The sequence below is a fragment of the Homo sapiens genome, chromosome 2 (genome assembly GCF_000001405.40).
Source record: "Homo sapiens chromosome 2, GRCh38.p14 Primary Assembly".
NCBI lineage: Eukaryota > Metazoa > Chordata > Mammalia > Primates > Hominidae > Homo > Homo sapiens.
Window position 1 is genome coordinate 240,675,854 of NC_000002.12, and position 25,946 is coordinate 240,701,799.

Sequence of the window (25,946 nt, forward strand, 5' to 3'; positions counted from 1 at the left end):
GGCAGGAGCACCGGCCACCTCACTCCCTCCCTCTGGGTGGGGCAGCAGGACCCATAGCAGAGGGCCGTTATCTCCTTTGGGTGGAAGTTTCCAGACCGGCTCTGTTCTTTGGGAAGGAAATGGCTGGAGGTGCCATGCCTCCAGGTCCCAGTTCTGCCACCAAGGTCTCAGTGATTGACCTGGCTTTGGGCGGCGAGCGGACCATGGTCCTGACGGTCGCGAACTCAGGGCCCGTGGGACTGGGTGCCCTGTGCCTAGTTCACAAGCCTACAGCCTCAGGCTCCAGCACCATCCTCAGCATCCCATCGGGTCTCAGGCCTCCGTGGCTGTGGGCTCCCTCCCGGGCATGTCCAGGGCTGCAGCATCATCTTGGCAGACTTGGGACCTGGCGGACTCCCTGGGCTCTTCCCTGTCATCCTGCCCTTTCCTCTCCTGCTTCTTCTGTAACAAGAGGCAGGAAGGAGCCCGCGGGAGATGGGGAGACTCGGACCAGCCTCACCGTGTTGCCGCACACCCTTGCCTGCCCCTCCAGAAGCCTCTCTCGGGCCCAGGGGGACACACAGGTCTTAGAAATGGTTTATTGACAAATGGCTTCTGGGGAGGGGGCCAGGATTCCCTCTTAGCTACAGAAGGTTCCAGGGTCCAGCTACAAGCAGGGCCCTCGCACGGGGCTCACACAGAGCAAGGCCACTCAGCTGGAATGTGGCCCCTCAACACCACTGCGCCCAGGCTCCCGGACACTGGACCCCTTTGCAGGGGTCTGGGTGTCCCCTGAGGCCGGGGCCGGCTTCCCTCGGGGTGCTCGGTACTTGTTCTTCTGGCCGTAGAACAGGTTCCTCTGGAAAAGGTGGGGAAGGCGGCCCTGGTGCAGCAGCACAGCCAGGACCATCCCTGCAAGAGAAGGCAGGTCCCAGGTGGGCCGCGGGGCTCCTGGGCCCAAACACAGACAGGACACCCACTCCCAGGCCTGTGCCAGGACAGGCGAGCCAGGCAGCCTGGCCAGGAGCCCCAAGAACCCTGAGGCCCAGCTCCTGCCTGGTCCTGGTCTTCCCGCCCTGGTCATGCCCCTCTCTCTGGGTATGCCAGCCATGGGGACGGGGGCAAGCCGGTGGGGTTCCTTGTACTTCTGGACCACCCTCTGGGATGAGTGACTGGAATTCCCCTCCCCCCACATTGTCCTGAGCCACTCCCAGAGCTTCTGTGGCCATTTTCCTCCGGGACCTGATGTGGCGTCCCAGGGTGGCTGCTTGCAGGGCTGTGGCCTGGCGTAGAGGTGGGGGATGTGAGTGGACAAGAAAGATGTGGATGCCCCTGGGTGGGAGGCTGGGCCTGGCTAAATCCTCATGCGAACGTTCTCCCAGAACTCCAGGAGCAGAGACTCCTAAATCCCCGCCTGCCTTCCAGGTCATTGGGAAGGGCAGGTGTTCCGGGCAGAAGGGGAGAGTAGATCCTCTTCAAGTTTGATCTCACTCCTCTAAGGATTTAACCCACAGTGTGTGAGCTCCACTAGGGCTGGCCTGAGGGGGCCCTGCCTGTCACCACCTGCAGCTGCTGTGGCTCCTGACAGTGGCCCCTGTGCCTACAGCTTGCCTACAGTTGCCCCTCACTCGGCCCTCCAGGCCCACACTGGTCCTAGCTCTGTTCCCAGGAGGGCAGGCCCAGGGAGGCGGGATGACCTGCTCAGGGGTGCTGCCAGCAGGTGCCGGTGGCCGCTCACACCCAGGGAGATAGCCCCATGTCCACACCTGGCTACGGGGCTCCTGGCTGCAGCCTTGGAGCTCCCCAGGGCTCATGCTGATACTGAACTTGTGGATAAAGGGGTTAATGGAAGGACACAAGCCTGTTTTTCGGTTTCCTGAAGCTGCCCTAAGATGACAGGAAAGGGATGCTGTCAGAGGTGTCAAGCATCCAGATGGATGAGACGGGAAGAGACGCAGGAGCACAGCGTGGGGCTGACAAGCATGTGGACGACCAAACACTGCTGACATGGAGGGGCCGGATCGCCCCTCCGCAGGGACGAAAGCTGGGAAACAACCCAGTTCTTCCGCAGATGCCCCATGCTTTCAGAAGCTGGCGCCCGGGTCCCTGTGGGATGGGGTGGCCCTGGGACTCGCCTAGGAGGAGGGACGGCAATTCCGCATGGGAAGCTCCAGGGCCCCAAACCCCAAAATACAGAAGCAGCCAGTGCCCCCCTCCCTGGCCCTGGCAGGAGACAGGTTCCTCTCTAGAGGGGGCATGTGGACTCGAGTATCAGGCCCGCCCAAGCCTGGAGTCCCGCCTGAAACACGGATCCCAGCCTCCTCCTACTTGGCTCCTAGAAGCCGCAAATGCCCTTTGGGCTTCTCCACAGAGGCAGTTCTACAGTGAGAGGTTGCAGCCGGGTGAAGAGTATTTCCCCAGCGACACGCCCTTCCCAGAACACAGGATGTGCCCTTGTTAGAATACGGCCTGGGACATAAAATCAGTGAAATCACGGTGACGTCATACTTGAGTAGAGTGAACCTCCAATTCGATGACTGGTGTCCCTATATGAAGAGAACAGACAATGACACAGAGGAGGCGGCCAGGGGAACCGGCAGACATGGGAGTGCTGCGTCTCCAAGCCCGGGGACACCGGGGGTGCCAGAGGCCCCCGGAGCCCGGAAGAGGCAGGAGGCTCCTCCCCAGCAGCCTCCGAGGAGAGCTGACCCTGTCAGTGCTGCCAGCTCAGACTCCAGCCTCCAGAGCTGGCTGAGCATACAACCCTGTCACGTGAAGCCTCTTCGTTTGCGTCCTTTGCCTTGTAGCCCGTGAAGCCACCACAGGCCATGGTTGGGGCCTGAGAAACTCAGGACGAAACTGAGCTCCCACCCGGAACCCTGCCCAGGCCTCACCGACACTCAAGTGCAGGTCAGAACCAGGACACTATTTCAGACACAGGAGGTCTGAAGTGTACCTGCCAGGTCCCCGTTCTCAGGAAGCTACTGTGAGACGGGCACCAGCAAAAAGAAGGAATCAACCGAAACAGGAGGCGATGAGGAAAGCAGGAAACAGAAATACAACCAGGATCAGTGAAGGGCAGCACCATACCGGAGATGGACGCCTGCGGGTAACCCGGAGCTGCGGATCCTCGGGGGAGACGCTGCCCACACAGAGCACTGGTGCTGAACTAAGGAAAGCACCCAGAAGCCTGGGCAGGAGAGAGTCCAGGACCTCGTCACCCGCAGGAAGCAAGGCCTGTGCAGGAGCGGAGAGGCCTCCGGGGCCACCACAGCTCACCCGGGCCGTGTTTCCATGCCAGGGAACTAGAGGGGGCTCTGGAGCTGATCAGGAGGAAGAGGCCGACCCACCCGGAGTGAAGGATCCGCAGGAGGAGCGTGGGGAGGCAAGGAAAGAACATCCGCCCCCCACATCCCAGGAGACAGCCCAGGGTTGATACCTGAACTGAAGAGTCTCGGAGAAGCCCTGCAGGCCCAGTGTGTGGGGACAGAGAGGCCAACACGGAGCTGTTCCTAGCAGAGGGCAGTGCTGCCTCGGCAACGGGGGCAGGAGGGGGTTCCTGATGCACTTCGTATGCTTCCTAGGACCCTGCACATGCCTGAGAGACTGTGACCACATCAGAACCATGGCGACAAATCACGATGACGTCAGTGTCACCATCGCAGGGCCAGGTGCCTGAGAGACCCCCAGCTCCTGTCTTTCCCCCCAAGGGGAGGCTGAGGCATTGCCCCTGAGACCTCCCCAGTGTAGAGCCAGCAGAAGCTGAAAAAAGCTTCCAGAATTCCATAGGAACCCAGCTGCCCTTCTGGTACCTCAGTGAGGTGGAGCCGAGTGTCTGAGAGCAGGTGCAGGAGAAGGTGTGGGCTCCACCTGGGCCTCTGAAGCCAGGGGCCAGAATCCCCAGATCTAGGTCCAAGAGGGGGCTCCATGACCTCCCCATGCTGCTCCTCTGCTTGGATCCAGGATATAAGAAAGGAGGGGCACACACTGTGGGGGAACTCTGGGGTCCCCTGTGTGCATCAGCGAGTCCCGGGTCTGCCCCACCAGGATGCAAAGGGCCTGGCTGCTCCAGCCCCATGCTCACAGCCCTATAAGTGCACGATGGCACCCTATATCATCTAAGCGGGGCTCTCTGCCTCCTGAGGCTTTAGGGACACCAGAATGAGCCCCCCTCGGCGGAGTCTGGCTCTGGGTGTGTGGAGATGCCACCTGGGACGGGAACCCCAGGTGCATGGAGCCCCACTGCAGACACCATCCCCCGTGTGCCCAGCACCCCTTGCAAGGTTGGCCTTTCCCCAGCCTGTGGCCTCCTTACCTGGCTGCAGCTTGCTCGGCACCGGGACGGTGTCCACAGTGAGACATGCCGTCACAGCCCCTACCCCCCAAACCATGCCCACTGCAGAGACCTCCCCAGGAGCACTGACCAGGCACCCTCACCTCCACCCTGCAGGACCCCACGTGCCAGGATGCTCTGTGGGCCCCAGCAGCCCTAGGGACCCCACCCTGCCCCTGCCCTTACCTGTCAGAGGGCCCAGCCAGTACACCTGCACGTACTCCAGTAAGGTGTGTCCCGAGCAGGCAAAGGTCACAGAGGCGGCCAGGGCAGGGTTGAAGAAGGCAGACGTGAAGGGCCCGGCTGTGGGCAGAGCACAGACAGCCCTGGTCCCCAGCCCTGCCTGACGCCCCTCTGCAGGCCAGGACCTGATCCCCGCCACCGAATCCACACCGAGAGCCCCACTGTGTGCAGGCCTGGGAGCTGCTCTCGGCTCCTGAAGCCCCGCCTGGTCCCCCGCACCGATGGACACACGATGCAGCAAGGCCGGGTCAGCCAAGGTCTGGGTCAGGGGCAGCAGCTTGGGGGCCCCCCAGGGCCGTCCAACACCCTCGCGACATCTCACCGGGATCCCGTGCCCCGCCCATGCTGCCCTCCAGCACCCCACCCTGTGGGATGTGGCCTTCGAGAAAGACGGACAGAGAGAGATGGAGAGAGACACTAAGAGAGACAGATAGTGAGAGAGAGACAAAAAGACACAGAGAGAGACAGGGAGACAGAGAGAGAGGAGAGACAGAGAGAGAGAGGAGAGACAGAGAGAGAGAGGAGAGACAGAGAGAGAGAGGAGAGACAGAGAGAGATCTCAGAAATAAAGGAGCAGCAGCAGAGGAGAGAAGACGACATGGCTGTGCGATGTGAGACAAGGGAAGGCGGCGGCAGCCGGGCCGCTGTCCTGCAGCCCCAGGCCTGGGTGACCACCCCAAATAACAGAATCCACCAATACCGGGGACCTGCCTCTGGGCACGGAAGAGCAGGGAGTGGGCCTAGCGGAGGGCAGGGACCACAGGGACATGGAGTCTGCGGCCGCCCAGGTGTAAACCAGGACCCTGAGGATGGGCAGCTCCGTCCCTGAGACCAGGCGCCCTGTGCCTCGTGGAGGCAGGACCCTTGACGGGAGCTCTCCGGTGCCACCCAGGACAGAGGCCCGGGCAATCTGCCACAGAGCCGTGTCCCTGCAGAGCTCCCGCTCACCCGTGCCTCAGTTTCCCCAACTGTACGGGGCTCTGGTGGCACCTTCCTGTGGCCTTTGTGGTCCAGGTTCCGTGGTGTCTGCCCAGTGCTGGGTCGTGGGCAGTGCCATGGACCTAAGTGCTGGTCCTGTCCTGATTAGGACCTCGGACCCCCGGAAGGAGACCTGGCACCATTCTCCCTGCAGCCCTTCCTGTGGTGCCTGGAGCACGAGCCGGCTCCCCTGGCTCTCCCTGCAGCCCCAGCGCTGTGGACACCTGTCCTGGGAACTTGCTGAGCAAAGGCTTTCGTGGTGGTGGAGCCTAGCGCTCGGAGGGGAAAGCAGACATGGGGGACTGGATCAGACGGAGGGTCTGAGTGGAGGGAGCTCACAAGGGGGTGATGGGACCATGAGAGCTGGGTGCCACGGTTGGTCCAGGTGCAGGCAGAGATCGCAGGATGCAGGTGTCAGTAGGAGGCCAGGGAGGCCAACTGGGGCAGGTGAGACAGGACCTGTCGCTCTGGAAGGGGTGATAGAGGGTGCAGGGACTCCCACACCAGACCAGGAAACTGGGCTGGGCCTTGAATCGTCTGCCTCGGCTGTCCCTACTACCCCAGAGGCAGAACTTCTGGGAGGACCAAGAATAGCTGGGACTGGGGAGAGGTGCAGTGGGCAGGATGGCCCTGGCAGGGGACAGGCTGCTCCACCGCACCCCATGTCCAGCGCAGGCCCTCGTCTACCCGCCAGATCCCAGGAAATCACCGCCTCTTCTTGTGGGTTTGTTGGCCACCCGGGCCAGCAGCCCCCTATCCTGGGTGCAAACGGGCCTGAGTGTGCATGGAGGCCACACAGGTGAGAGGTCCTCAGGGGCCCAGGGGAAGGGGAAGCAGTGCTCACCCGTGTAGGCCGTGACGGTGACCAACAGAGCCACAGCGGGCCCGCTGTAGGCGGGAGGACTGTGCCGCAGGTGCAGGAGGGTCAGATGGAAACAAAAGGCGCAGGCGGCCTCCACAAGCGCCCCGTGGGGCACGGATGTGCGCAGGGCCGAGCTGCAGCTCTGGGCCATGAGGCTCTGCAGCAGGTGCAGGTCACTGAGCTCCCAGGCCCAGCAGAGGCGCGTCAGGGTGCAGGCGGCCTGCATGCCCAGCCCCTGTGCCGCCAGCTTCAGCAGCGTGCCAGGCAGAGACTCCTCGGCCATGAGGAACTCCTGCAGGGACACGGTGGGGTTGGCCGAGGCCCCGTCCAAGGTGACCCCGTGCGCCAGGAAGAGCAGGAAGAGCAGGGTGAGCAGCAGGTCAGGCCCAAAGTCCCCAGCCCAGGGCCCGAGCTCGACCAGCGTCCTCATCTCCAGGAAGCAGGCCCCGAGCTGCACCGCGCCCACCGCCTCCCGGGCGAAGACTTCATAGGCGCCCACTGGGAGCAGGGCCTTGGAGGCCCGCCTGGCTGCCTCACAGAGGGTGAAGGTGGCAAAGAAGAAGGAGAGGGACACGTTAAGACCTGCCATCGGCCTGGGCCCCCCGAGATGCTGTGCCTGCAGGACACCTGAGGGGACAGAGCAGGAGCTGGCCGGTTCCCACAACCCAGAGGGCCCAGGCGTGTGGGAGAGGGCACCTGGGCCTCTGGGAACACCACAGCTGCAGCCCCAGCTCCCGCCCCACTGGCTGCCACCCAGGTGCACAGCCAGGATGGCCACAGGGGCCCTGCCCCACAGCCTGGCATCATCCCGTCATGTGACACACCCGGATCCACTGGCCACGCTCGGCCAGCCCTGGGCGCTGGAGACTGGCCCAGCTCTTCAGAGCCTCCATCCGAGCTCCGCTCCTCCTACCTGCGCTCTTGGGTACCGGACCCCAATACCTGCTCCCTGCACCTGGCCCCTCTTGAGTCAGGGTCTCCCAGATCCTGCACCCCCTCCAGGTCCCTGCCTGAACAAGGGCCCCCATTTCCGCCTCCCTGCATGGATGCTGTGTCCCCATCTCAGTGAGGGCCCCAGGCTTATTGCACCTGCACTGTGTCCCCACTGGGGTGAGACCCCCACTGAACCTGCACTGTGTGTCCGCCTGGGAGGCCCCTCATGGCCCCTGCACCTGTTCTTTGACCCAGCCTAGGTGAAGCTCCCTCCTGCCTGCACCTGTAGATGTCTTCCCTTGAGTGAGTGCCCCCTGCTCCCTGCTCCTGGCTGTGTCCCCAGCTAGGCCAGGCCCCCTGCACGTGGCTGCGTCCCTGCCTATGGGAAGGTCCTCTCATTCTTGGCTCCCTGCACCTCCACTGTGTCCCCACCTCAGCAGGGACCCCCAAGCTTGTTGACCTGCCTGGGGTCTGGTCTGGGTGAGACCCTCCTCCACCTGCTCTGTGTCCCCTCTGGTCAAGAGTTGGCAGCAGCCCTTGCCCCAGCCCCACATTCCCTGCCCTGTACTGCCCTCACCTGCCCTCAGGAGAACTCAGGACCACGCCTCACATCAACGTCCCTCCCACCTTCCCGCCCCGAAAGCGCTTTCCAGAGATGAAAACCGAAAGTGCCATCGCCATTCACTTGAATTTCCTGCAGAGGGGCCAGCTACCCACAGCTGCGTGGAGAAGGCGCTGAGCCTGGGCGTCTGCAGTGGGAGATAGCTGGGCTGGGACCATCCAGAGCTCCGGACCCCGAGGGGATGGGACATGAGCCCTGTGGGCCCTGCGATGGGCCGTCTGTCACCCTGCAGCATGGATCCTGTCCACTGGGTCTGCACCCAAGCACTGGGACACCAGCCATGGCCATACGGGGTACAGCACGTGGGACCTGCTGGATGTCCCCCTCACAGCCCTTTCCCTCTCCCCCAGGACTGACTCCAGCACCCGAGGCCCTTCCCCCAACCTGGCCCAAAGCTCCCCTTTCTCTGAGACTTAGATTTCCTTTTGTTTTTGGAAACCCAGTTGGGTCCCACCTGGCGTCCCCCTGGCACAGCTGGGGAGACTGAGACCAGGAGGGAATGGACCTGCCTGAGGGCACAGAGGAGGCAGCAGCTCGCAAAACAAGGGGCGATTTTGTTTCAGTTTTGACCTTTCCAGTTCTGGGGTTCAGAATTTCCTCCAGTTAGGGAAGGTGTCTGGTCGCCTCCAAGGAGGAGGGGAGGCCCCAGGCTCTTCGACTCCCACAGGAAGATTGCCTGTCCCCCTCCCCAACCCGTCCACTGACCTCTCCCCAGAAGGCAGAGAAACCCCGGTTCCAGTAGGGCTGTGGCTGCCTTCGGTTGCCTGTTCCCTGTGCAAGTGCCCTGCCCTCTCAGAGTAGCAGAGGAACCTTCTGGAAGCCATAGAAGCCTGGCCTCTGCACAGGGAAAAGCCAGGTTTTCCCTTGTGGGATCCTGTGGAGAATGAGCTCAGACGGATTCCTCATATTCTAATCCGACACCACTGGAGACCTTGACTCCTCCTTCCAGAACGGGAACCCCCTTGTCCAGCGTCACGGATACCGGGCCCCACAGTCTCCCTGCATCTGCATTGACCCTCCACGGAGCTCACAGCAGGGAGGGTCTGCGTGGTCCACCTCTACCCCACGCACAGGCAAACCTGAGAAGGAACGTTTAATCACCATTCACAGCCCTTGCTTCTTTCTAGAGAAATAAAACAAACTTACACCAGAATATGAAAACAACGTGAAACACACAAAAGTTAAGTGTGAGCCCGTGCACTGTGACAGGTGTCAGCAGCGTGAGTCTCGCCAGCGTCAGGAGCTGGAACGTCTTCATCATCCCCGAGTCCTCTGGTCCTCCCTGCCCTTCCGCAGCGGGAGGGTCCACTCTTGTGGGTTCCCAGTCCTCCCTGAACTTCCCCAGAGGGAGGGTCCACTCTTGTGGGTTCCTGGTCCTCCCTGAACTTCCCCAGCAGGAGGGTCCACTCTCGTGGGTTCCCGGTCCTCCCCGCCCTTCCCCAGCGGGAGGGTCCACTCTTGTGGGTTATGTGATTCTAGCTTCCCGCTTTCTGTCCGGAGCCTGCAGAGGAATGGGACCACGAGCTACACGTGGGTTGGACCTGCCTGTTTTGAGAGAGGGCCCTGTCCCTGAGGGTTCATATCCCTTGAACATGGTTGAGAGTTTTGTTCCTTTTCATTGCTGACTTGAAGCCATGTCATGAAGAGCCACAGCTTGGCCGTTTTTCTGATGATGCCCATGTGGGTGGATTTTAGTTCTTACTACTATGAATAAAGCTGCTGTTAGCATTTTGGTCTATTCTTTCTGTAAACGCAGACTTTTATGTCTTTTGGGTAAATTCCTAAAATGCCCCGGGTGAGCTATGTCCACTGAACAAATCCCACATCTATAAATTTGGAAAGAAGACTTTATTTCCTATAAAGGGGTAGGGCCTTCAGGGTGGCCGTCCTGACACCCTGGGCACCTCAGCCTCTGGCAGAGCCCAGGCCGGGCACCTGGAAGGAGGGGGTTGGGGCAGGAGCTTCATGCTGAACAGGTCGGCTAAGGACACACACTCCATGGGTTGCTGGAGGAGCCGTGAACATTCAGGAAGGGGTCCTCACTCATGCATACTGAACAAACATGCATGTGACATGCGTCTCAAGTTTCCTTGGGGGTGGACACGTGATATCTAAATGTGTTCCTGTGAGGCCCTTGCCTGGAAAGGTGAAGCAGCAACACCAAGGCACTCGTTGCACGGCCCCTGAAAACCAGCCAGAACCAGTCCCTGCTGGGTGGTCCCCAGTCAGAATTACAGAAATCAGCCTCTTGGCCAATCAAACTTAGGGCTGGTGGCACAGAAGAGTGGGGCTGTGTGTCAGCATCTGGAGGGGGTGAGCTGCACCTGAGTGAGTGTGGCTTTCCTAGTGGCCAGCGCTGGTTTAGCTGCTAGAGAAAAAGAACCCTCCTGGCCGGCAGCCCCTGGTTTCTGCTTTTCAGTGTCTTGTGCGTGACTCCACCCCTGCCAGGCAGGGCCTCAGGTCTTGTTGATCATTTGCTGTCTTATCACCACAAGGAACCTGTTTTGTCAGTCTCCTCTTTATGTTCACCTTCATGCTGGTGAGTGTGGTGTCCCAACCACAGACGGAGGGGCTGTCACGCGGCGGGTCCCACCTCCCACTCTGTCATGGCGGGATTTTTGTCATGTTTTTCAGATTTCTCTGGAATCCCCTTGGCCAAGAAGGGTCCATTCAGCTTGTTGGTGCGGGAGCTCAGGATTTCATTTTTAGTTCTCACATGGCAGGTGAGTGAAAACGTTATAAGGGACTATCCAAACCTTTCCCGAAGTGGCTGTAGTATCTTAACTCTCACCAGTCGTGTGTGACAGTTTTGGTGTCTTTAAAAGTCGGTGGTGTCAAGATTTCACAACTACCTCTTCTGCTGATTGTGTGGTTCTATCTGTTCGTGGCTTAAACTTGCATTTCCCTCATGACAAAAAGTGTGAAACCATCAGTCATGAACTGTCTGTCCATTCCAATCTCTTCTGTTCATTTTTAAAGTGGGGCTGTGTATCTTTTTATTGATTTATGATCATTCTTTCTATATTCTGGATACAAGATTTTTGTGTGGGATTTGTTTTGCAGTATCTCCCCAGACTTCCTGGTCATTTTCTTTGTAGTGTCTTTTGATAACTAGAGCATTTTCCTTCGGATAAAGCCAAATTGATTATTTTTAAATGTGCTTGTCACTGCTTTTTCCTCCCTGCCAGGAAGTGTTTGTGCACTCTCAGGTCACACAAGAGATGGTAATTTGTCAGTGAGCTGAGGAAGGCAGATCTGGCCTCAGCTATGAGGGTGGGTAGCACCCAGCCCATTGCAGACCCAGACTCCGGAGGTTCCTCTGTCTTCTTGGGCTGGGGCGTCCATCTCCTCCTGCCCGCAGACACAGGAGTTTCTGGGTCCCAGGCCTTGCGCTCTGGGACTGACACCAGCGGTTTGGGCTTGGACTGAATGACGCCACCCGCTGTTCGGGTTCACTGGCTTAGGGACAGCGGTTTGTGGGACTTCTCAGCCTCCGTGATCAAGGAGCCGATTCCTGTAATAAATCTCCTCCTAAACGTATCGCCCAGCAGCTCTGTTTCTCTGGAGAACCCTGACTCACATATGGGGGCCTAGAGGTTTGGTTGTAGCAGGCCCCAGGCCCTGTTCCAGCACCTGGCAGTACCCCCAGCTGATGGGCCCCAGGTGGGGAGGGACAGCCGGCCTGAGGGAGGTGCCTCCTGGGCCCCACCGTGGGCTCCCGTGCAGACAGGCAGGGTGGGGAGCAAGGACAAGGCTGTCCCCTCCTCTGGCCTCCGTCTACAGGTGGGACTTCTTTCCAGCCCTTTCTGTGGGTGGGGGGTGCACACGGGCAGGCCAGCCCCAGGCGCCCTCAGGACCGCACCCTAGGCCTGCCCTGGGGGGAGTGGGGATGGGGCTGGGGCCTCACCTTGCTCAGGACCCAACCCTGGTGCAGCTCCACTCCTGGCTTTTCGCCTGCAGGACAGAGGGGCCTGGAGTGGCCTGGCCCTGCCGTGGGCAGCATGGCGTGGGCATGCAGGTGAGGCCTGCCTGAGGTGCCCAACCCCCTTTCTGCCAGCTGGGGCTTCCAGGTTCAGTGGTGTGTCTTCCTGTCTGGCATTTCAGAGAAGGGCTCTGCAGATGTGGGGGCTGGCTGTGAGGACACAGGGAGCCTGGGAAAAGGGTGGGAGAAGGGTCCCTGTGGCCACAGGCCACCCGAGGAGGGGCAGGGCCAGGCTCCTGTGGAAGCTGTTGCGGGCCCAGGGGTCTCTTTGTCCAGGCGGGAAAGGCTTGGAGCACAAGGCACAGGCCCTTCACCCCTCAGCCAGCCAAAGCCTTGAGGGCTGGTCACCCCCCGACGAGCTCAGTCCCCTCCAACGGTGCTGCCCAATACTGGGCCTCCCACACCGCGTCCCTCCCCATCTCCACCCTGGGATCCTCAGACACCCACACACACAGGCAAGGGGAGAAGCCAGGGCACCCCTAGGCTTGGCAGAGTGCAGGCTCCCTGCTATGTTGGCTTTGCTTGGTCCCTCCAGGGGAACCAGGAGCCTGTGGGTGAAGGAAGCTGACCCTGGAAGGGCCTGGGGACGTCTCTGGACCAGCCTCACCCTGGCTTTGATCTTTGTTCCAGGGCGCAGACTGACCACTCTGTTCCCACACCTGGCTCAAGGTGGGTCGAGGGCCTTCCCAGCCTTCTCAGAGCTAACCCAGAGGAGTGCACAGGACAGGTAGGCAGAGGGTTCAGGGGCCACCTTCCAATGGGGTGAGGCTGAGGAGAGGGTGCTGTGAGCTGAGCAAGGACCCCACTCCATTTCAGCTCGTCTCCCCCGAGAGCCACAGGGAGTGCTGGACCCGCCTGAGCGGGGGGCATATGGGGCTCAGCACAGCACTGTGGGGCCTGGATGAGAAGCCGCTGGTCTCTTCTGCCCCTCCCTGACATTGAGGACTGGAACCTTGGGGAGCCTTGGGTGAGGTCGCCTCCCAGGAAGTCCTGAGCTGAGACATCGCGGGCCCATTTTGAGGTGGCTGTGAGGGGTACAGGTGAGTGTACTTGGGGTTCCTTCAAGGCCAGGCCCAGCAGGTCACCTGCAGAAGGCCTTGGGCAGGTGCCCCCCACCCCGTCCTGGAACACCATTCTTCCCCATCGCCCCAGAGGACCAGGCCCAGGCAAGGCTGGGAATGCTTAGCCGACCTGCTCAGCATGAAGCTCCTGCCCCAACCCCCTCCTTCCAGGTGCCCGGCCTGGGCTCTGCCAGAGGCTGAGGTGCCCAGGGTGTCAGGACGGCCACCCTGAAGGCCCTACCCCTTTATAGGAAATAAAGTCTTCTTTCCAAATTTATAGATGTGGGATTTGTTCAGTGGACATAGCTCACCCGGGGCATTTTAGGAATTTACCCAAAAGACATAAAAGTCTGCGTTTACAGAAAGAATAGACCAAAATGCTAACAGCAGCTTTATTCATAGTAGTAAGAACTAAAATCCACCCACATGGGCATCATCAGAAAAACGGCCAAGCTGTGGCTCTTCATGACATGGCTTCAAGTCAGCAATGAAAAGGAACAAAATTCTCAACCATGTTCAAGGGACATGAACCCCAGGGACAGGGCCCTCTCTCAAAACAGGCAGGTCCAACCCACGTGTAGCTCGTGGTCCCATTCCTCTGCAGGCTCCGGACAGAAAGCGGGAAGCTAGAATCACATAACCCACAAGAGTGGACCCTCCCGCTGGGGAAGGGCGGGGAGGACCGGGAACCCACGAGAGTGGACCCTCCTGCTGGGGAAGTTCAGGGAGGACCAGGAACCCACAAGAGTGGACCCTCCCTCTGGGGAAGTTCAGGGAGGACTGGGAACCCACAAGAGTGGACCCTCCCGCTGCGGAAGGGCAGGGAGGACCAGAGGACTCGGGGATGATGAAGACGTTCCAGCTCCTGACGCTGGCGAGACTCACGCTGCTGACACCTGTCACAGTGCACGGGCTCACACTTAACTTTTGTGTGTTTCACGTTGTTTTCATATTCTGGTGTAAGTTTGTTTTATTTCTCTAGAAAGAAGCAAGGGCTGTGAATGGTGATTAAACGTTCCTTCTCAGGTTTGCCTGTGCGTGGGGTAGAGGTGGACCACGCAGACCCTCCCTGCTGTGAGCTCCGTGGAGGGTCAATGCAGATGCAGGGAGACTGTGGGGCCCGGTATCCGCGACGCTGGACAAGGGGGTTCCCGCTCTGGAAGGAGGAGTCAAGGTCTCCAGTGGTGTCGGATTAGAATATGAGGAATCCGTCTGAGCTCATTCTCCACAGGATCCCACGAGGGAAAGCCTGGCTTTTCCCTGTGCAGATGCCAGGCCTCTACAGGTTCCAGAAGGTTCCTCTGCTCCTCTGAGAGGGCAGGGCACTTGCACAGGGAACAGGCAGCCGAAGGCAGCCACAGCCCTACTGGAACCAGGGTTTCTCTGCCTCCTGGGAAGAGGTCAGTGGATGGGTTGGGGAGGGGGACAGGCGGCCTTCCTGTGGGAGTCGAAGAGCCTGGGGCCTCCCCTCCTTGGAGGCGACCAGACACCTTCCCTAACTGGAGGAAATTCTGAACCCCAGACCTGGAAAGTTCAAAGCTGAAATAAAATCGCCCCTTGTTTTGCGAGCTGCTGCCTCCTATGTGCCCTCAGGCAGGTCCATTCCCTCCTGGTCTCAGTCTCCCCAGCTGTGCCAGGGGGACGCCAGGTGGGACCCAACTGGGTTTCCAAAAACAAAAGGAAATTTAAGTCTCAGAGAAAGGGGAGCTTTGGGCCAGGTTGGGGGAAGGGCCTCGGGTGCTGGAGTGAGTCCTGGGGGAGAAGGAAAGGGCTGCGGGCGGGACATCCAGAAAGTCCCACATGCTGTACCATATGGCCATGGCTGGTGTCCCAGTGCTTGGGTGCAGACTCACTGGACAGGATCCATGCTGCAGGGTGACAGACGGCCCATCGCAGGGCCCACAGGGCTCATGTCCCATCCCCTCGGGGTCCGGAGCTCTGGATGGTCCCAGCCCAGCTATCTCCCACTGCAGACGCCCAGGCTCAGCGCCTTCTCCACGCAGCTGTGGGTAGCTGGCCCCTCTGCAGGAAATTCAAGTGAATGGCGATGGCACTTTCGGTTTTCATCTCTGGAAAGCGCTTTCGGGGCGGGAAGGTGGGAGGGACGTTGATGTGAGGCGTGGTCCTGAGTTCTCCTGAGGGCAGGTGAGGGCAGTACAGGGCAGGGAATGTGGGGCTGGGGCAAGGGCTGCTGCCAACTCTTGACCAGAGGGGACACAGAGCAGGTGGAGGAGGGTCTCACCCAGACCAGACCCCAGGCAGGTCAACAAGCTTGGGGGTCCCTGCTGAGGTGGGGACACAGTGGAGGTGCAGGGAGCCAAGAATGAGAGGACCTTCCCATAGGCAGGGACACAGCCCACGTGCAGGGGGCCTGGCCTAGCTGGGGACACAGCCAGGTGCAGGGAGCAGAGGGCACTCACTCAAGGGAAGACATCTACAGGTGCAGGCAGGAGGGAGCTTCACCTAGGCTGGGTCAAAGAACAGGTGCAGGGGCCATGAGGGGCCTCCCAGGCGGACACACAGTGCAGGTTCAGTGGGGGTCTCACCCCAGTGGGGACACAGTGCAGGTGCAATAAGCCTGGGGCCCTCACTGAGATGGGGACACAGCATCCATGCAGGGAGGCGGAAATGGGGGCCCTTGTTCAGGCAGGGACCTGGAGGGGGTGCAGGATCTGGGAGACCCTGACTCAAGAGGGGCCAGGTGCAGGGAGCAGGTATTGGGGTCCGGTACCCAAGAGCGCAGGTAGGAGGAGCGGAGCTCGGATGGAGGCTCTGAAGAGCTGGGCCAGTCTCCAGCGCCCAGGGCTGGCCGAGCGTGGCCAGTGGGTCCGGGTGTGTCACATGACGGGATGATGCCAGGCTGTGGGGCAGGGCCCCTGTGGCCATCCTGGCTGTGCACCTGGGTGGCAGCCAGTGGGGCGGGAGCTGGGGCTGCAGCTGTGGTGTTCCCAGAGGCCCAGGTGCCCTCTCCCACACGCCTGGGCCCTCTGGGTTGTGGGAACCAGCCAGCTCCTGCTCTGTCCCCTCAGGTGTCCTGCAGGCACAGCTCCTCGGGGGGCCCAGGCCGATGGCAGGTCTTAACGTGTCCCTCTCCTTCTTCTTTGCCACCTTCGCCCTCTGTGAGGCGGCCAGGCGGGCCTCCAAGGCCCTGCTCCCAGTGGGCGCCTATGAAGTCTTCGCCCGGGAGGCGGTGGGTGCGGGTGCAGCTCGGGCCCTGCTGCCTGGAGATGAGGACGCTGGTCGAGCTCGGGCCCTGGGCTGGGGACTTTGGGCCTGACCTGCTGCTCACCCTGCTCTTCCTGCTCTTCCTGGCGCACGGGGTCACCTTGGACGGGGCCTCGGCCAACCCCACTGTGTCCCTGCAGGAGTTCCTCATGGCCGAGCAGTCTCTGCCTGGCACGCTGTTGAAGCTGGCGGCACAGGGGCTGGGCATGCAGGCCGCCTGCACCCTGATGCGCCTCTGCTGGGCCTGGGAGCTCAGTGACCTGCACCTGCTGCAGAGCCTCATGGCCCAGAGCTGCAGCTCGGCCCTGCGCACATCCGTGCCCCACGGGGCGCTTGTGGAGGCCGCCTGCGCCTTTTGTTTCCATCTGACCCTCCTGCACCTGCGGCACAGTCCTCCCGCCTACAGCGGGCCCGCTGTGGCTCTGTTGGTCACCGTCACGGCCTACACGGGTGAGCACTGCTTCCCCTTCCCCTGGGCCCCTGAGGACCTCTCACCTGTGTGGCCTCCATGCACACTCAGGCCCGTTTGCACCCAGGATAGGGGGCTGCTGGCCCGGGTGGCCAACAAACCCACAAGAAGAGGCGGTGATTTCCTGGGATCTGGCGGGTAGACGAGGGCCTGCGCTGGACATGGGGTGCGGTGGAGCAGCCTGTCCCCTGCCAGGGCCATCCTGCCCACTGCACCTCTCCCCAGTCGCAGCTATTCTTGGTCCTCCCAGAAGTTCTGCCTCTGGGGTAGTAGGGACAGCCGAGGCAGACGATTCAAGGCCCAGCCCAGTTTCCTGGTCTGGTGTGGGAGTCCCTGCACCCTCTATCACCCCTTCCAGAGCGACAGGTCCTGTCTCACCTGCCCCAGTTGGCCTCCCTGGCCTCCTACTGACACCTGCATCCTGCGATCTCTGCCTGCACCTGGACCGACCGTGGCACCCAGCTCTCATGGTCCCATCACCCCCTTGTGAGCTCCCTCCACTCAGACCCTCCGTCTGATCCAGTCCCCCATGTCTGCTTTCCCCTCCGAGCGCTAGGCTCCACCACCACGAAAGCCTTTGCTCAGCAAGTTCCCAGGACAGGTGTCCACAGCGCTGGGGCTGCAGGGAGAGCCAGGGGAGCCGGCTCGTGCTCCAGGCACCACAGGAAGGGCTGCAGGGAGAATGGTGCCAGGTCTCCTTCCGGGGGTCCGAGGTCCTAATCAGGACAGGACCAGCACTTAGGTCCATGGCACTGCCCACGACCCAGCACTGGGCAGACACCACGGAATCTGGACCACAAAGGCCACAGGAAGGTGCCACCAGAGCCCTGTACAGATGGGGAAACTGAGGCACGGGTGAGCGGGAGCTCTGCAGGGACACGGCTCTGTGGCAGATTGCCCGGGCCTCTGTCCTGGGTGGCACCGGAGAGCTCCCGTCAAGGGTCCTGCCTCCACGAGGCACAGGGCGCCTGGTCTCAGGGACGGAGCTGCCCATCCTCAGGGTCCTGGTTTACACCTGGGCGGCCGCAGACTCCATGTCCCTGTGGTCCCTGCCCTCCGCTAGGCCCACTCCCTGCTCTTCCGTGCCCAGAGGCAGGTCCCCGGTATTGGTGGATTCTGTTATTTGGGGTGGTCACCCAGGCCTGGGGCTGCAGGACAGCGGCCCGGCTGCCGCCGCCTTCCCTTGTCTCACATCGCACAGCCATGTCGTCTTCTCTCCTCTGCTGCTGCTCGTTTATTTCTGAGATCTCTCTCTGTCTCTCCTCTCTCTCTCTGTCTCTCCTCTCTCTCTCTGTCTCTCCTCTCTCTCTCTGTCTCTCCTCTCTCTCTCTGTCTCTCCTCTCTCTCTGTCTCCCTGTCTCTCTCTGTCTCTCCTCTCTCTCTCTGTCTCTCCTCTCTCTCTCTGTCTCTCCTCTCTCTCTCTGTCTCTCCTCTCTCTCTCTGTCTCTCCTCTCTCTCTCTGTCTCTCCTCTCTCTCTGTCTCCCTGTCTCTCTCTGTGTCTTTTTGTCTCTCTCTCACTATCTGTCTCTCTTAGTGTCTCTCTCCATCTCTCTCTGTCCGTCTTTCTCGAAGGCCACATCCCACAGGGTGGGGTGCTGGAGGGCAGCATGGGCGGGGCACGGGATCCCGGTGAGATGTCGCGAGGGTGTTGGACGGCCCTGGGGGGCCCCCAAGCTGCTGCCCCTGACCCAGACCTTGGCTGACCCGGCCTTGCTGCATCGTGTGTCCATCGGTGCGGGGGACCAGGCGGGGCTTCAGGAGCCGAGAGCAGCTCCCAGGCCTGCACACAGTGGGGCTCTCGGTGTGGATTCGGTGGCGGGGATCAGGTCCTGGCCTGCAGAGGGGCGTCAGGCAGGGCTGGGGACCAGGGCTGTCTGTGCTCTGCCCACAGCCGGGCCCTTCACGTCTGCCTTCTTCAACCCTGCCCTGGCCGCCTCTGTGACCTTTGCCTGCTCGGGACACACCTTACTGGAGTACGTGCAGGTGTACTGGCTGGGCCCTCTGACAGGTAAGGGCAGGGGCAGGGTGGGGTCCCTAGGGCTGCTGGGGCCCACAGAGCATCCTGGCACGTGGGGTCCTGCAGGGTGGAGGTGAGGGTGCCTGGTCAGTGCTCCTGGGGAGGTCTCTGCAGTGGGCATGGTTTCGGGGGTAGGGGCTGTGACGGCATGTCTCACTGTGGACACCGTCCCGGTGCCGAGCAAGCTGCAGCCAGGTAAGGAGGCCACAGGCTGGGGAAAGGCCAACCTTGCAAGGGGTGCTGGGCACACGGGGGATGGTGTCTGCAGTGGGGCTCCATGCACCTGGGGTTCCCGTCCCAGGTGGCATCTCCACACACCCAGAGCCAGACTCCGCCGAGGGGGGCTCATTCTGGTGTCCCTAAAGCCTCAGGAGGCAGAGAGCCCCGCTTAGATGATATAGGGTGCCATCGTGCACTTATAGGGCTGTGAGCATGGGGCTGGAGCAGCCAGGCCCTTTGCATCCTGGTGGGGCAGACCCGGGACTCGCTGATGCACACAGGGGACCCCAGAGTTCCCCCACAGTGTGTGCCCCTCCTTTCTTATATCCTGGATCCAAGCAGAGGAGCAGCATGGGGAGGTCATGGAGCCCCCTCTTGGACCTAGATCTGGGGATTCTGGCCCCTGGCTTCAGAGGCCCAGGTGGAGCCCACACCTTCTCCTGCACCTGCTCTCAGACACTCGGCTCCACCTCACTGAGGTACCAGAAGGGCAGCTGGGTTCCTATGGAATTCTGGAAGCTTTTTTCAGCTTCTGCTGGCTCTACACTGGGGAGGTCTCAGGGGCAATGCCTCAGCCTCCCCTTGGGGGGAAAGACAGGAGCTGGGGGTCTCTCAGGCACCTGGCCCTGCGATGGTGACACTGACGTCATCGTGATTTGTCGCCATGGTTCTGATGTGGTCACAGTCTCTCAGGCATGTGCAGGGTCCTAGGAAGCATATGAAGTGCATCAGGAACCCCCTCCTGCCCCCGTTGCCGAGGCAGCACTGCCCTCTGCTAGGAACAGCTCCGTGTTGGCCTCTCTGTCCCCACACACTGGGCCTGCAGGGCTTCTCCGAGACTCTTCAGTTCAGGTATCAACCCTGGGCTGTCTCCTGGGATGTGGGGGGCGGATGTTCTTTCCTTGCCTCCCCACGCTCCTCCTGCGGATCCTTCACTCCGGGTGGGTCGGCCTCTTCCTCCTGATCAGCTCCAGAGCCCCCTCTAGTTCCCTGGCATGGAAACACGGCCCGGGTGAGCTGTGGTGGCCCCGGAGGCCTCTCCGCTCCTGCACAGGCCTTGCTTCCTGCGGGTGACGAGGTCCTGGACTCTCTCCTGCCCAGGCTTCTGGGTGCTTTCCTTAGTTCAGCACCAGTGCTCTGTGTGGGCAGCGTCTCCCCCGAGGATCCGCAGCTCCGGGTTACCCGCAGGCGTCCATCTCCGGTATGGTGCTGCCCTTCACTGATCCTGGTTGTATTTCTGTTTCCTGCTTTCCTCATCGCCTCCTGTTTCGGTTGATTCCTTCTTTTTGCTGGTGCCCGTCTCACAGTAGCTTCCTGAGAACGGGGACCTGGCAGGTACACTTCAGACCTCCTGTGTCTGAAATAGTGTCCTGGTTCTGACCTGCACTTGAGTGTCGGTGAGGCCTGGGCAGGGTTCCGGGTGGGAGCTCAGTTTCGTCCTGAGTTTCTCAGGCCCCAACCATGGCCTGTGGTGGCTTCACGGGCTACAAGGCAAAGGACGCAAACGAAGAGGCTTCACGTGACAGGGTTGTATGCTCAGCCAGCTCTGGAGGCTGGAGTCTGAGCTGGCAGCACTGACAGGGTCAGCTCTCCTCGGAGGCTGCTGGGGAGGAGCCTCCTGCCTCTTCCGGGCTCCGGGGGCCTCTGGCACCCCCGGTGTCCCCGGGCTTGGAGACGCAGCACTCCCATGTCTGCCGGTTCCCCTGGCCGCCTCCTCTGTGTCATTGTCTGTTCTCTTCATATAGGGACACCAGTCATTGAATTGGAGGTTCACTCTACTCAAGTATGACGTCACCGTGATTTCACTGATTTTATGTCCCAGGCCGTATTCTAACAAGGGCACATCCTGTGTTCTGGGAAGGGCGTGTCGCTGGGGAAATACTCTTCACCCGGCTGCAACCTCTCACTGTAGAACTGCCTCTGTGGAGAAGCCCAAAGGGCATTTGCGGCTTCTAGGAGCCAAGTAGGAGGAGGCTGGGATCCGTGTTTCAGGCGGGACTCCAGGCTTGGGCGGGCCTGATACTCGAGTCCACATGCCCCCTCTAGAGAGGAACCTGTCTCCTGCCAGGGCCAGGGAGGGGGGCACTGGCTGCTTCTGTATTTTGGGGTTTGGGGCCCTGGAGCTTCCCATGCGGAATTGCCGTCCCTCCTCCTAGGCGAGTCCCAGGGCCACCCCATCCCACAGGGACCCGGGCGCCAGCTTCTGAAAGCATGGGGCATCTGCGGAAGAACTGGGTTGTTTCCCAGCTTTCGTCCCTGCGGAGGGGCGATCCGGCCCCTCCATGTCAGCAGTGTTTGGTCGTCCACATGCTTGTCAGCCCCACGCTGTGCTCCTGCGTCTCTTCCCGTCTCATCCATCTGGATGCTTGACACCTCTGACAGCATCCCTTTCCTGTCATCTTAGGGCAGCTTCAGGAAACCGAAAAACAGGCTTGTGTCCTTCCATTAACCCCTTTATCCACAAGTTCAGTATCAGCATGAGCCCTGGGGAGCTCCAAGGCTGCAGCCAGGAGCCCCGTAGCCAGGTGTGGACATGGGGCTATCTCCCTGGGTGTGAGCGGCCACCGGCACCTGCTGGCAGCACCCCTGAGCAGGTCATCCCGCCTCCCTGGGCCTGCCCTCCTGGGAACAGAGCTAGGACCAGTGTGGGCCTGGAGGGCCGAGTGAGGGGCAACTGTAGGCAAGCTGTAGGCACAGGGGCCACTGTCAGGAGCCACAGCAGCTGCAGGTGGTGACAGGCAGGGCCCCCTCAGGCCAGCCCTAGTGGAGCTCACACACTGTGGGTTAAATCCTTAGAGGAGTGAGATCAAACTTGAAGAGGATCTACTCTCCCCTTCTGCCCGGAACACCTGCCCTTCCCAATGACCTGGAAGGCAGGCGGGGATTTAGGAGTCTCTGCTCCTGGAGTTCTGGGAGAACGTTCGCATGAGGATTTAGCCAGGCCCAGCCTCCCACCCAGGGGCATCCACATCTTTCTTGTCCACTCACATCCCCCACCTCTACGCCAGGCCACAGCCCTGCAAGCAGCCACCCTGGGACGCCACATCAGGTCCCGGAGGAAAATGGCCACAGAAGCTCTGGGAGTGGCTCAGGACAATGTGGGGGGAGGGGAATTCCAGTCACTCATCCCAGAGGGTGGTCCAGAAGTACAAGGAACCCCACCGGCTTGCCCCCGTCCCCATGGCTGGCATACCCAGAGAGAGGGGCATGACCAGGGCGGGAAGACCAGGACCAGGCAGGAGCTGGGCCTCAGGGTTCTTGGGGCTCCTGGCCAGGCTGCCTGGCTCGCCTGTCCTGGCACAGGCCTGGGAGTGGGTGTCCTGTCTGTGTTTGGGCCCAGGAGCCCCGCGGCCCACCTGGGACCTGCCTTCTCTTGCAGGGATGGTCCTGGCTGTGCTGCTGCACCAGGGCCGCCTTCCCCACCTTTTCCAGAGGAACCTGTTCTACGGCCAGAAGAACAAGTACCGAGCACCCCGAGGGAAGCCGGCCCCGGCCTCAGGGGACACCCAGACCCCTGCAAAGGGGTCCAGTGTCCGGGAGCCTGGGCGCAGTGGTGTTGAGGGGCCACATTCCAGCTGAGTGGCCTTGCTCTGTGTGAGCCCCGTGCGAGGGCCCTGCTTGTAGCTGGACCCTGGAACCTTCTGTAGCTAAGAGGGAATCCTGGCCCCCTCCCCAGAAGCCATTTGTCAATAAACCATTTCTAAGACCTGTGTGTCCCCCTGGGCCCGAGAGAGGCTTCTGGAGGGGCAGGCAAGGGTGTGCGGCAACACGGTGAGGCTGGTCCGAGTCTCCTCATCTCCCGCGGGCTCCTTCCTGCCTCTTGTTACAGAAGAAGCAGGAGAGGAAAGGGCAGGATGACAGGGAAGAGCCCAGGGAGTCCGCCAGGTCCCAAGTCTGCCAAGATGATGCTGCAGCCCTGGACATGCCCGGGAGGGAGCCCACAGCCACGGAGGCCTGAGACCCGATGGGATGCTGAGGATAGTGCTGGAGCCTGAGGCTGTAGGCTTGTGAACTAGGCACAGGGCACCCAGTCCCACGGGCCCTGAGTTCGCGACCGTCAGGACCATGGTCCGCTCGCCGCCCAAAGCCAGGTCAATCACTGAGACCTTGGTGGCAGAACTGGGACCTGGAGGCATGGCACCTCCAGCCATTTCCTTCCCAAAGAACAGAGCCGGTCTGGAAACTTCCACCCAAAGGAGATAAGGGCCCTCTGCTATGGGTCCTGCTGCCCCACCCAGAGGGAGGGAGTGAGGTGGCCGGTGCTCCTGCCACAGGCTGTACCCCGTCCTCTGGTGGGCAGCAGCCCTGGGCCCAGCCGCTCTGCTATGGGGGAAGGACGAGAGGAGAAAGCAGGGAGATGTCCTCGATGCGGGGGGCTACGGGACACCCCAACCCCAGTGAGACCTCCACCCCGGCCAGCGTCCAGGCTCTTGACACCATCGTGAGAAGGAATTCAGGGGCGAGTTGGCAAATAGTGAAAGACCAGAGATTTCCTGCGAAGCCCAAAGCTCCCACTGGAGAAAGGGAGTGTGGCGCCCTCTAGAGTCCCGTCCCGGGCAGGGGCGCTGGGGCTGGAGGAATCCACAGGATTCCTGGAAAACGTGGAGATGTCTCAGAGCTGCGGCGCCGCCCACTTCTTACACCAAATCTGGGTGTTCTGGAGCCATCACGCGCTGGTGGGGGTGTGACGAGTGTGCTAATGAGCGCACCGTGAGGTCGCGGGAGACACCGGGGCACAGCCAGAGCCCTGTGGGGTCCAGGCGGTCTCAGCCAGCACGGCCACACCCCGGTGTTTTGGGTCCTGTCAGCCACTCGCTGCTGCAGGGTTTCCTTTTGCTAGAGATGAGAAGGGGCTGCCTGGAACTTCCACTCCCCTCTGACCACCCTGTATGATTCCCGTCTCATGGTGCGTGGGCTTCTCCCTGGGGATGCCGGTGAGGCCACGTTTTCCTGGACGAGCGTTTGGTGGAGGGAGAGAAAGAAGAATCCTCTCCCCTCCCGGAGGTTGCCCCTTCACACACACACCCTCCTCCCCGAAGCTGCCCCTTCACACACACACCCTCCTCCCCGCCAGAAAGCCCCCTCCCACACAGGCAGAGAGCTGGCTCTTTCTGGAGCCCCAGGCTCCTCTTCCCTGCTGTGGACTGGAGACAGGAATCCCATGGGACAGGCCTGAGAGCCAGTCCTGTGTGGCATCCAGAGGCCCCGATGGGGCTGCCAGACCCTGCCAGGCAAAGGGCTGCTGAGCACACAGGGGAGCCGATGGGGTGGGGCCAACCAGCTCCCCTCACAGACGTTCTGCGTGGGGGCCTGGCCATGCCTGGGTGTCACATGGCAGCAGAAGCAGCAGCAGGGGTTGGAGCCCCAGGAAGGAGAGGGGATCCTCCTCCGGTGGCAGCACGAGGCCCCTGGGTGCCGGAGGTGTGTCTGTTTTGCCACCAGTGCCTGCAGCCTCTGCACAGATCCTTCCAGGAGTGGAGGTCCCGGTGCTCAGGCAGTAACTGTATCAGTAACTGAGCATGGGAGGAGCAGACACAGCCTTATCCCAGTAACATAACCAGGAAGCTGTTAGAATTACTCCAGCTTAGAATCTCTTTCTGACAATCTCGAAATTCTCAGCAAAATCCACAAACCCTGAAGCAAGGGCCACTGCATTGGACAGAAACAAGCACAATTTTCCTATAAGATGTTGGAGTATCCAGGTATTAATGCAGAAGTTTTGAAATTAATTTTTCTTACAGTTGAAGATACACTGATGGAATCCACAAACAGATGTTGTAAGTTGTGTGCAATCGTGAATTCACCTTCAGTCTCTCCTATGAGCTCCACAAGCACAGGAAACGTCCGAGGAAACATAATCACGATAGATTTGCATCTACAAGCACACTCAAACTTCTGCGAAAGTCATCTGTCTGAAGCGCGGACAGTTTTGGGACTAGCCGCTCATCTGCTCTCGATGTGCTGAAATCTGCGCCTCCGGTGGCTCCGCAGAGCAGCTTCCCAGGTCGCCACAGCCTATGAGACACTCCCAGCAGCTCCGCAACGTTCCCTCTGCAGAAAGAGCCTTCTCCACATTAAAAACTGCCAAAGTGACTTGGAATCGTGCATCTGCCTCGGGCAACCTACCTGCGTTTCAAGTAGATGAAAAGAAAAGCAAGTTGGTAAAATCAGGTTTCCCGTAACTACTGAAGGATGTGCAGAAAAGGGAGCCGGGACGGAGCAGTTTCGGCTGGGGCTCCTGGCCACCGTCGCCCGCCCTGTGGGGTCCCATGTAACAGGGGCTGAGGGCGCGCCCTTCTGCTCCAGGGCCCTACGGATCCCCGCCCGCCTCTGAACACGACCCACATTTTCCCTTGGGCCTGGGCCTGCCGCGCGAGGCCGCCTGGCCTGCAGCTCTGCTCCCCAAGGGCGTCCCGGATCCCACACCCGCTCCGGGAACTGGCGCAGGTACAGACGCCTGGCGAACTGCAGCTCTGGGGTGGCCAGGTCCTGGCAATGGCGGCGGGTGGCCTGGTCCGGGTCTGGCCGCAGCCGGTAGCCCAGGATGGGCGCCAGGCCGTGCTGCTGCGGCGCCAGCCGCGGGTCACGCTCCGCGCCCGGCCCTGAGGCCTCGCCATACAGGAGGCAGGTGCGCGCCTACCGGGCCCGCAGCGCCACCACCTCCGGCCGCAGCCCCCCTGGCACCCAGCCGCGCCCACAGCGTGAGGTTCAAGTGTGCACAGAGCGCCAAGTCCAGCGCGTTCTAGGCGCGCGCCCTGCGCTCCACGCGCTGCTCCAGCGGCTCCTGGGCGAAGGCCGCACGCCACTGGACGGGGAAGGTCACCAGGTCATCCAGGCCCCAGCACAGCGCGGCGCAGCAGCCCCAGGGACTCATCCAGGTGCTGGGCAATCAGCCCCAGATCGAAGCGCGTGGCCACCGCTTCCACCCTCGGGGCCAGGCGGCGGCGCACTGTGGTCGAAGCCCAGGTCGAAGGCCATGAAGTTGAGGCCCTAGTGGCTGTCTGGCCGTCGGGGTTCATAGA

At 61.2% G+C, this 25,946-nt stretch overlaps 2 protein-coding genes and 1 long non-coding RNA gene across 18 annotated transcripts, besides 1 other annotated feature; 2 read left to right on the top strand and 1 right to left on the bottom strand.

Annotated features, from left to right (window-relative positions):
- Positions 1 to 564: 564 nt before the first annotated feature.
- On the bottom strand, positions 565 to 7,957 carry AQP12B (aquaporin 12B). 16 transcript variants are annotated; one of them, XM_047445561.1, is made up of 10 exons: positions 6,978 to 7,956; positions 6,378 to 6,687; positions 4,499 to 4,615; positions 4,295 to 4,354; positions 3,792 to 3,928; positions 3,419 to 3,585; positions 3,070 to 3,169; positions 2,488 to 2,525; positions 1,746 to 1,866; positions 565 to 891 (listed from the first exon to the last, which is right to left on the bottom strand). In XM_047445561.1, the coding sequence occupies exons 1-10, from the start codon at positions 7,200 to 7,202 to the stop codon at positions 673 to 675; spliced, it is 1,494 nt and encodes a 497-aa protein (XP_047301517.1). In that variant the 5' UTR covers positions 7,203 to 7,956; the 3' UTR covers positions 565 to 672. The 16 variants fall into 16 exon arrangements, 14 of the variants coding, with proteins under 14 accessions (XP_047301517.1, XP_011509975.1, XP_047301516.1 ...); XM_011511673.3 differs by having other exon boundaries at positions 6,378 to 7,032; XR_922992.3 differs by lacking the exon at positions 2,488 to 2,525 and having other exon boundaries at positions 6,378 to 7,032.
- A 2,523-nt stretch (positions 7,958 to 10,480) lies between these two features.
- On the top strand, positions 10,481 to 13,269 carry LOC285191 (uncharacterized). Its single transcript, NR_149021.1, has 3 exons — positions 10,481 to 11,968; positions 12,563 to 12,659; positions 12,749 to 13,269. It is a non-coding gene; the product is annotated as an uncharacterized LOC285191 (long non-coding RNA).
- A 2,743-nt stretch (positions 13,270 to 16,012) lies between these two features.
- On the top strand, positions 16,013 to 22,630 carry AQP12A (aquaporin 12A). The gene is made up of 4 exons (NM_198998.3): positions 16,013 to 16,183; positions 16,221 to 16,668; positions 18,580 to 18,696; positions 22,304 to 22,630. Exons 1-4 carry the CDS (start codon positions 16,061 to 16,063, stop codon positions 22,501 to 22,503), a joined length of 888 nt encoding a protein of 295 aa, NP_945349.1. The 5' UTR covers positions 16,013 to 16,060; the 3' UTR covers positions 22,504 to 22,630.
- Positions 22,598 to 23,381: an enhancer, noted in NCBI's record as "H3K4me1 hESC enhancer chr2:241637868-241638651 (GRCh37/hg19 assembly coordinates)". NCBI's record gives its function as "activates a minimal SCP1, AML or CMV promoter by ChIP-STARR-seq in naive H9 embryonic stem cells {active_cell/tissue: H9 hESC(naive)}" and the evidence as "EXISTENCE:reporter gene assay evidence [ECO:0000049][PMID:30033119]".

What these genes read in the sequence shown, in the direction of transcription:
- AQP12B (XM_011511673.3), bottom strand. Translation starts at nt 6,984, where the DNA reads ATGGCAGGTCTTAACGTGTCCCTCTCCTTCTTCTTTGCCACCTTCACC. An exon ending in CTGGCTGGGCCCTCTGACAG is followed by an intron (nt 4,355 to 4,498) that starts GTAAGGGCAGGG and finishes TTTGGGGGGTAG; the next exon opens with GGGCTGTGACGGCATGTCTC. An exon ending in CTCGGCTCCACCTCACTGAG is followed by an intron (nt 3,586 to 3,791) that starts GTACCAGAAGGG and finishes ATGTGGTCACAG; the next exon opens with TCTCTCAGGCATGTGCAGGG.
- AQP12A (NM_198998.3), top strand. Translation starts at nt 16,061, where the DNA reads ATGGCAGGTCTTAACGTGTCCCTCTCCTTCTTCTTTGCCACCTTCGCC. An exon ending in CACCGTCACGGCCTACACGG is followed by an intron (nt 16,669 to 18,579) that starts GTGAGCACTGCT and finishes CTCTGCCCACAG; the next exon opens with CCGGGCCCTTCACGTCTGCC. An exon ending in CTGGCTGGGCCCTCTGACAG is followed by an intron (nt 18,697 to 22,303) that starts GTAAGGGCAGGG and finishes CTTCTCTTGCAG; the next exon opens with GGATGGTCCTGGCTGTGCTG.